At 33.1% G+C, this 9,590-nt stretch overlaps 1 long non-coding RNA gene across 1 annotated transcript; it reads left to right on the top strand.

Annotated features, from left to right (window-relative positions):
* Positions 1 to 977: 977 nt before the first annotated feature.
* On the top strand, positions 978 to 7,544 carry LOC105373286 (uncharacterized). Its single transcript, XR_938455.2, has 3 exons — positions 978 to 1,100; positions 1,209 to 1,404; positions 7,067 to 7,544. It is a non-coding gene; the product is annotated as an uncharacterized LOC105373286 (long non-coding RNA).
* Positions 7,545 to 9,590: the final 2,046 nt, after the last annotated feature.

Here is a 9,590-nt window from a genome sequence, read left to right as displayed (position 1 = left end):
TAGTTATGCAAGAAAATAAAAATAATACTTTTTATATTTGTTAATGCATTTTCCTTTATTAGGTGATTTTATATTTTGATATGGCTTTTAGTTTCTGTGTATATCCTTTCATTTCAACTTTAAGGGCTCCTTTTAGCATTTATGTATGATGGACATATGGTAATACACTCTCTGAGCTTCTGCTTATACAGAAAGCCTTAATTTCCCCCTTATATTTGAAGAATTGTTTTCCTAGACATAGAATTTTTAGATGATATAGGGTATTTTTAGCACTCAAAATTTGTCATCTCATTGCCTCTGACCTCAAAAGTTTCTGTTAAGATATCCACTGTTAATCTTATCGAGGATTCTTTGTATTTGATGATTCATTTTTCTTTTGCTGCTTTCAATATAATTCTTTTTGCTTGTCTTTATACAGTGAAATTATTACTTATCTCAGTGTAGTTCTCATTTAATTCATTCTGTTGAGGTTCTTTAGCTTCCTGTATTTGTACATCCATGTCATTCATCAAACTGGGAAGTTGGCCAATATTTCTTCAAATAACCTTTTTGTCCCTTTCTCTTTTTATTTTTATAGAATTTTCATAATGAATATATTATTCTATTTTCTGGTATATCATTAGTCTCTTAGGCTCTGTTCACTTGTTTTTACTTTTTTCTCCTCTTTTATCCTTTGGCTTTTTTTTTTTTAATTCTTGTGACAGTAAAATTACCAGTCTTTAAATTTGCTGATTATTTTTTATTCGAGTTCAATTCTGCTGCTGAACTTCTAAAGTTTTTAACTTAGTTATCATATACTTCAGTTTCAGAATTTAAAAATAATTTCGGTCTCTGCTAATAGTTTCATTTACATATTATTTTTTGTTTTCTTTTAGTTTTCTTTCTGTGTTAATTTTTAGCTCTTTGAGCATATTTTAAACTTCTGTTTTCACATCTTTGTTTTTTAGGTCCAAAGCCTGTGTTTATTTAGTGTAAATTTCTAGAGATTTATTTTGTTCCTTTGAATATGCTAATTCTCCTGTATACTTGGTTATTGTTAAATGCCTTAATTTCCTAAAAGTCTTATGCTTGCTTCTTCTTGGGGTGATTTATGTTCTATGGTATTTATCACCATGTTATCTTTTGCCCCCAGACCTGCGTGCATCTGCAATATTTCTGCAGCCTTCACATGCTGTGGCACTCACTCCTGATTTCTGTGTCCTTTACAGCTTGATATCTGACCTATTTCAAGCTATGCAGCTATTCTCATCTGAAGTCATCAGTTGGGATGGAAACCAGTCTCTCAGCAGTACTTAAACAGGTCAGAAAGTTGCCAGCAGTTCCAATCTATTATTTTTATCTCAAAGGAAAAATCAGCAGTAGAGTGGCTTCCCTCCTTCGACTCAGTTTCAGGGAAGGGGTGAGGTAAGTTTGAACAAAAATTTCAACAAGTTTTCCATCATTTTGAGCGTGGTTTTATGTTGATTCAACATTTGCTTCATTGCTGCAGATTTTTTACTTATTGCTAGAGCTCTCTCAAAGCTATTTTAGTCAGTCTGTTGTTTACCTGATGTTCCCATGAAGAGGTAAGGGCCTGGAGCTTTCTAGTCCATCACCTTGCTAATGTAATTGTTTTAATACAAATTTATAAAGATCCCAGAACAACTGAAATTTCTCTATTGATTAGTAAGATGACATTTTGTGTTTTCAGCTTGCATGGTTAATTTCATAATCCCATACTAACATCCATAACAAGGACTGCTTCTATGGATTTTTCTTCCTGGCATTTCTGTCAAACTGTACACCTGTATTTCCTAACACTTCATATTTTTAATCACTTTAATATTGCTATTACATTTTACTTAGCTTACCCAAAGGTAAACTTAATACTTTTCTATTATATCACTCAGTTCCTCTAAATTCCTATCATGCTTAATATTACACTCAGACTTTAATTATTCATATTCAATATTTCACAATTATTTTTTTAATTACATCTTTCCTTCCTTCAGCTTCTCAATTTAACTCCCATATACTCCTAGAATCATAGAATTTTGGAGCTACAAAGGGAAAATTTTTAGACATAATTGTATTAACCTCCTTTATCTTCTATATAAGAAAACTATGCTCTAATGAGTTTCAGATATGTTTCCAGATTTGTATATGTTACAATAAAGTTGGATTAAAAGATAGATTTCTTGACTCTAAAGGTAACACTGTTTTATAGGAATAAGATTATGCCTCTTCATTCAATGTCTGTTATCTTGGTCTTTTCCTAAATTTTCTCTCATAACTCTGGCCTAGATCTTCCTTGTCACATGCTTGGACCACTGTAATATCCACCTTTACATTGGACTGTGTACAAATTTCTTATTTCCCTCCTCACCCCATTTTGTCCTCTATGCTGTAATATTCTTCATATATGTCATCACATAACTCAACTGTTCAATGACCCACCCATGTCTCTCAGTTTAATTTCTGGAAGACAAAACTCTACATTTCATAAATTAAAAAAAATTTGTTTCTGTGGTCTACCTTCTGGAATCTACTGTTGTTGATTAGACTTGTCTTTTCTTCTCATATATTACCAACCTATCATTTATAGTCTCGCACTAATCTCATTTTCTACTTGAATCTTCTATAATTACTTTGTTCCTATTTGGAAATCTGTAGCAGTTTATTTTATGTATTTTTGTTTTGGCTGCATTTCACAGCCTTGCAGTGCATACATATTTCCTATGTCTTTAATTACTGGTCAGTTCTTGAATGTAAGGACTATATCATCAGCCACATGGAAATCCCTTATTCCTTGGCACAGTGCAATGTTCAAAGTAAGCTCTTAATATTTTGTTAATTGCTGATTGACATGTAAAACCACTGAACAAATGTTGAACAAGTCAGTAAATTATTTCTACATCCTCTGAACATGCAATAGCATATGTTTATGAGATAACACCACGTGAAAAGAGACTGAAACAATCTCCACAGTCTACTCCCCTGGCACCATACGGAACTTGTAATTGCTTCCAGGTACTCCATCATAATTTTCTGCACCAAAAACTGGAGCTCATCCACTTATTTCCCCAAACCCATGCTTATTCTTTTATAAAAAAAAATTGTTTCAACAATGCCATTTTTTAAAACCAAGCTCTTGGCAAAGACTTTCAGTTTAACCCAATTCTTATTGCTGCTCTCCCTTGAGGACTGTAGCTGCTTTGTCTGCCTCTGATTGTTCCCACATGTAGTATACTAAACTCTCCTGCAAGGAGTGGTGCCCAAAATCCCAAGAAAAAGTCCTTGCCACCACTCCTGTTGCCATGCGCCTGAGCCATTTGGAATTCAGCCATAGAGTGGCACAAATTATGATTCAGTCCTGTTGCTGTCAAGGGCCAAATTTGTTTCTTGAAATGCAAAAAAGGAAAATAAAGTGGAGAATAAACTAAATTTCAGCCAAATTTCCAGAAACTGGCAAATCTATTTTCTACAACATGCCATGGTTACTGGCTTTGCAGTTCTTGCAATGTTAACAATGCACATTTTCTTTTGTAAAATATTTTATTTATTAAATTCTGTTTAGATAGCTTTGGAGCTGTAGCTTGTCACCCCACCCCACAGTGCTACTGCTGCTATTTTATTATACTCATTTTGTACTGATACATTTTAAAACCATCAATAACTAAAGTACTACAGAAACTGCCTTATGATTATTTCTTTCTCTCTCTCTTTCTCTCTCTCTCTCCATTTATCTTTCTGTCTCTCTTAATCTGTCTTTCTTTCTCGTGTGTGTGTGTGTGTGTATGTGTGTGTATACACATAAGAAAATATATGCATATGTGTGTGTATATATATATATCTTCTGGAAAGACTAATTCCACAAACAAACAGTCATTTGGACACAAACAAATAAGCTAGCTTTTCATTTCCAGTGGGTGGTAGGATAGCCAACATCTGCCTTACATAAGAGTGTTTGCCTATATAACATCACTTAGTTTTCTATTGTTCTGGGAACTGCTCATGCATGTAATATAAAGTTCCCAGGAGTTAACACCTCCTGTTTTTAATTATGTTTTCAGAATTATTTTGTTTGCCACAGCGTAGACTGCATTTTTTCCAGATGGTCACAATAAGTAAAATATTTGTATAGATCACCCAAGCTCTTAAAATATATTATTGTATTTATATTGTATTTCTATAATTAACATTGTCTTATAGGGATAGAAAAGGTAGTATTTTAGATATTATCAAAGTGAAAATGTATGACTCATCCTATCTTCCAAGAAAATACTGAATAAATATCTGTAGTCCAATACCTCTAGTATATGATAGGAATAATAATCCACAGAAAGATCGAAATAACAACTAAATAATATCACTCACCATCTTCCCCAAATATTTGAATGATATAAAATCCAATTTAGTTACCATCTGTGCTAAAGCTTAAGATAGATCATTAATGTTCAAAAAGCTGATAGAACACTGCACACCACAGCAATAAATCTGGTATAAGATATGGCTTTCCTGAACTTTGCTCTAACCTTAACTGCTAACATAGTTTTACTAAAACCACATTCTCCCTGAGTATTTTCTTCATCCAAGAATCTATGGCAGGTCTCTATTATATTTAAAATAGAATTCAGAATATTTGTGCTTCTTTTAAGGCCCACAATTTTCTATAGCAGGTCTCTATTATATTTAAAATAGAATTCAGAATATTTGTTCTTCTTTTAAGGTCCACAATCTTCTCATTCCATCATTTCTATATAACCTTATCTCAGACTCACCCCAAAGCAAGGGCACCTATCTTGTAAGACAAACTTCCTCATACATTCCATGTTAGTTACTACCTCTATACCGTTATTCACATTGTGTTTTGGAATAAGTATGTTTCTCCAACGGTCAATATTTATAACACATAATATTTTAAGGTCCAGTTGAGGTACTTTTTCTTCTCCAAAGTCTTCCCGGAATTACTCTGGTCCAAAATACACTTACATTTTTATGAGTTCTTATTACATATAGTTTCCATACCACAACACATAGTAAGTGTTTGGAATTCAACTCTAACTGCTCGATTTGCTCCATTTTCATATGTGATGTCTTTCTAAGCAAACTATACATGCTTTAGGGACAATGACTACTTATCATTTTAAACTATTATTTTAGGTTCAGAGGTACAGGTGCAAGTTTGTTATGTAGGTAAATTGCATGTCACAAGGATTTGGTATACAGATCATTTCATCACCCAGGTGATAAGCATAGTAACTGATAGGTAGTTATTTTTTTTCATTTTACCTTCTCCCTCCTCCTATTCTCCACCCTCAAGTAAGTCCTGGAGTGTGTTGTTTCCTTCTTTGTGGCACAATGACTACTTATGTTTCTATTTTGTATTCACCCCTTAACACCCAGCATTTATTTCTGGACATTTTGCAAGTCCTGAACAGAGTTTTGATTAACTAATGCCCAAATATAAAATTGATTGCCCAGGTATAATTAATATACATATTTAATTGGCATTTTAAAAATCTAGCATTTAGATACATCTTTGAGATTATGTAATGCTTTATTTTATAGTAACATGATATATATTGATTATTTTATTTTATTTTATTTTTTTCTTATACTTTAAGTTCTAGGGTACATGTGCACAACGTGCAGGTTTGTTACGTATGTATACATGTGCCATGTTGGTGTGCTGCACCTATTAACTCCTCATTTATATTAGGTATGTCTCCTAAGGCTATCCCTCCCCACTCCCTCCACCCCACGACAGGCCCCGGTGTGTGATGTTCCCCACTCTGTGTCCAAGTGTTCTCATTGTTCAATTCCCACCTATGAGTGAGAATATGTGGTGTTTGGTTTTCTGTCCTTGTGATTGATAGTTTGCTCAGAATGATGGTTTCCAGCTTCATCCATGTCCTAAAAGTGAAATAACCTGTGTAATTGAATGCTTCTGAAATTTATTGTAGATATTATCAGAACTGTCATTATTAGGTTAGAACAGAACTTTTTTGAGTTAGGCAGTATAAAAATGGTTCTTCACGGAAGAATGAACTCAAATATTTGAGTTAAAGATTTTACTTGGCATTTATATGTATGAAAGTGCCATTATCTTTTAAAATAGAAAACAATATTTTGTGTATATTTACTTATCCCCGTGCTGGAAACATTGCAGCCATTGGTCTAAACTTTATGAGCAATAAATAGGTTATGACACCCAAGGGAAGAAGCTTCAGGTTTTAAGGGTAAAATCAAAACCACAATGAGATACCATCTCACACCAGTTAGAATGGCAATCATTAAAAAGTCAGGAAACAGCAGGTGCTGGAGAGGATGTGGAGAAATAGGAACACTTTTACACTGTTGGTGGGACTGTAAACTAGTTCAACCATTGTGGAAGTCAGTGTGGCGATTCCTCAGGGATCTAGAACTAGAAATACCATTTGACCCAGCCATCCCATTACTGGGTATATACCCAAAGGACTATAAATCATGCTGCTATAATGACACATGCACATGTATGTTTATTGCGGCATTATTCACAATAGCAAAGACTTGGAACCAACCCAAATGTCCAACAATGATAGACTGGATTAAGAAAATGTGGCACATATACACCATGGAATACTATGCAGCCATAAAAAATGATGAGTTCATGTCCTTTGTAGGGACATGGATGAAATTGGAAATCATCATTCTCAGTAAACTATCGCAAGAACAAAAAACCAAACACCGCATATTCTCACTCATAGGTGGGAATTGAACAATGAGATCACATGGACACAGGAAGGGGAACATCACACTCTGGAGACTGTTGTGTGGTGGGGGGAGGGGGGAGGGATAGCATTGGGAGATATACCTAATGCTAGATGACGAGTTAATGGGTGCAGCACACCAGCATGGCACATGTATACGTATGTAACTAACCTGCACAATGTGCATATGTACCCTAAAACTTAAAGTATAATAAATAAATAAATAAATAAATAAATAAACAGGAAGGGAGGGAAATCTCTTACTTTATTTCAACATGGAGAATAAATTTCTTATTTTAAATTTGTATTTTTCCTTACCACATCCAAACTGGAAGAACACCCTGTGAAGAGGAAGGCAGAGATTGGAATGATGCAGAAGAAGCCAACGAATCTAGGAGAGAGGCATGAATTTCCCCTTCATAGTCCTTGTAAGGAGCCAACCCTGCTGCACCTTTATCTCAAATGTCCAGCTTCCAGAACTGCAAGACAGTAAATTTCTGCTGTTTAAGACAAAAAAAAAAAAAGTTAAGCTTTATATGCACAAAGCAAGACATTACTTATATTAAATGTTGTATCTGTGATCTTTACAACATTTGTCAAATAGTCTATTAGCCAATCAGTTGGTAGGCAGAAGTATCTAAATCACATAAAATAATTGTGCCTAAATAATTCTGGTAACTTATGTATAATCCGTTGAACATCTTGACAATCACTAATTTAACTAATGCAAGTTTGTCAAATAGGGGAACTGGGGATCCTGATACTAATATAATTTTAGAAGATGAACAACAGTAAAGCATTTATGGACTGAGAGCTTAATGTGTTTATTTCTTTTAAAATTTTACAAACTGCTGGGTGTGTTGGCTTATGCCTCTAATCTCAGCACTTTGGGAGACTGAGGCAGGTGAATTGCTTGAGCCCAGGAGTTCACGACCAGCTTGGGCAACGTAGTGAGAACTAATTTCTACTAAAAATTAAACAAAAAAATAGTCAAGTGTGGTGGTACACACCTGAAATCCCAGTTATTCTGGAGACTGTGGCAGTAAGATCATTTGAGCCCAAGATACTGAGACTACTGTGAGCCATGATTGTGCCACTGCACTCCAGCTCAGGCAACAGACTGAGACCCTGTCTCAAAAATAAATAAATACAAATAAAATAAAATTTTACAAACTTTCTGATTTAGCAGTCACTAAAAACCACATGAAAAATCTATTATATATACACCATCTTTTAAAATAAATACATTGTAATTTTGAAAAATTGTGTTATTTCCCTGAAATCAACGTTAGCAAACAATGGGGCTAATATAAATCCAGATATGTTCAACTTCAAAGCCTATACTACAATTACTCTTGTAAAAATAGTTTTCCAGTTATGCCTCAACTTGTTTTAACTAGTGGAAAAAAAAAGCTTTCCAGCCCATTATGAGAAAGAAAATTTAACTTCTCTATTACATAACTTGATTACATAAATTACTATAACCTAATAAGTGCAGTTAACTTGACATCCTCACTTAACATATGGAAGAGCACATTTATGACACATTTATAGACATCAGTATGGCATTGTATATCAGAAATTAAAATGTGGATAAGATTTTGTCCCCCAAATTTTACTACAATAAATTTGTTTTAAGGAAATATTGAAGTAGCAAAGATGTATGTTTAAGAATATTAATTATTACAGTGCTAAAAAATAAAATATAGAACAAAAACTGAATACAAAATGTGACTAGAATGTCAAATAGATGTCTACATTCCCATATTTATTGAAACATTTTTCATTATAGCCAAGATTTGCAAGCAACCTAAGTGCCTCTCAACAAATAAAGAGATTGTTTAAATGTTTTGTGTGTGTGTGTGTGTATAATGGAATACTGTTCAATCTTTAGAAAAAATAAAATTCTGCAATTTGCAACAACATGAATAAAGCTAGAGGACATTTATACTGAATGAAATAAGTCATGTACAGATAAACAAATATTACATGCTCTCACTTATATGTGCAAGCAAAAATTTGAGCTTACACAAGTAAGGGGTAAAATGGTTACTACCAAAAACTAGGGCAGGAGTGCATGGAGAAAGGAAAATGTTGGTTAAAAGGTACAAAATTTCAATTAGATAAGAGAAAAAAGTTATGGTGATCTAATGCATACCAAGTAATTACAATTAATAATAATGAATTTTCTATTTATAATTGCAAAAAGGGGGATTTTAAATGTTCTTAACAAAAATAAATGTGAGAATTGACAGATATATTAATTAACCTAATTTGTTCAATCCACAATGTATACCTGTATCTATGCATCACATTGTACCCCATAAATATATACAATTATTATTCTTTAATATGAATAAAATGTAAAAACAACTACAAAGATTTAAATGTAGTCTTATAAAAGATAAAATAGCAACTATGTAAGGTGATTAATATGTCAATTAGCTTAATTGGTTGTGGCTTTTTTTTTATAATATATGCATACATCAAAACATCAAATTTTACACCTTAAAAATATACCATTTTAATTTGTCTATTATACTTCAATAAAGTTGAAAAAAGTGGCATTGTGAATCACTACAAATATCATAATGTTCAAAATTAAGCAGCATTAATTAAGCAGTTAGATTATTAGTATCCCATGTCAGAAGAAAAGCAGAATAACATTCCATAGCTCCTCTACTCTTTCAGGAACATGTTCTAATTTAAGATGGAAAAGGCTTTAAATGGGTAGATAGATAATAGAGTGATAATAAATTGATGATAGACAGATAGATAGAAAGATAGACAAAAAGAAAAAGAAAACGTTAGGCAAAAGTAGATAAATTTAAAACTTCTGCCGAACAATTCTTAGATAAA

The sequence above is a fragment of the Homo sapiens genome, chromosome X, assembly GCF_000001405.40.
Source record: "Homo sapiens chromosome X, GRCh38.p14 Primary Assembly".
Taxonomy (NCBI): domain Eukaryota; kingdom Metazoa; phylum Chordata; class Mammalia; order Primates; family Hominidae; genus Homo; species Homo sapiens.
This window is presented reverse-complemented; position numbering and strand designations above follow the sequence as displayed.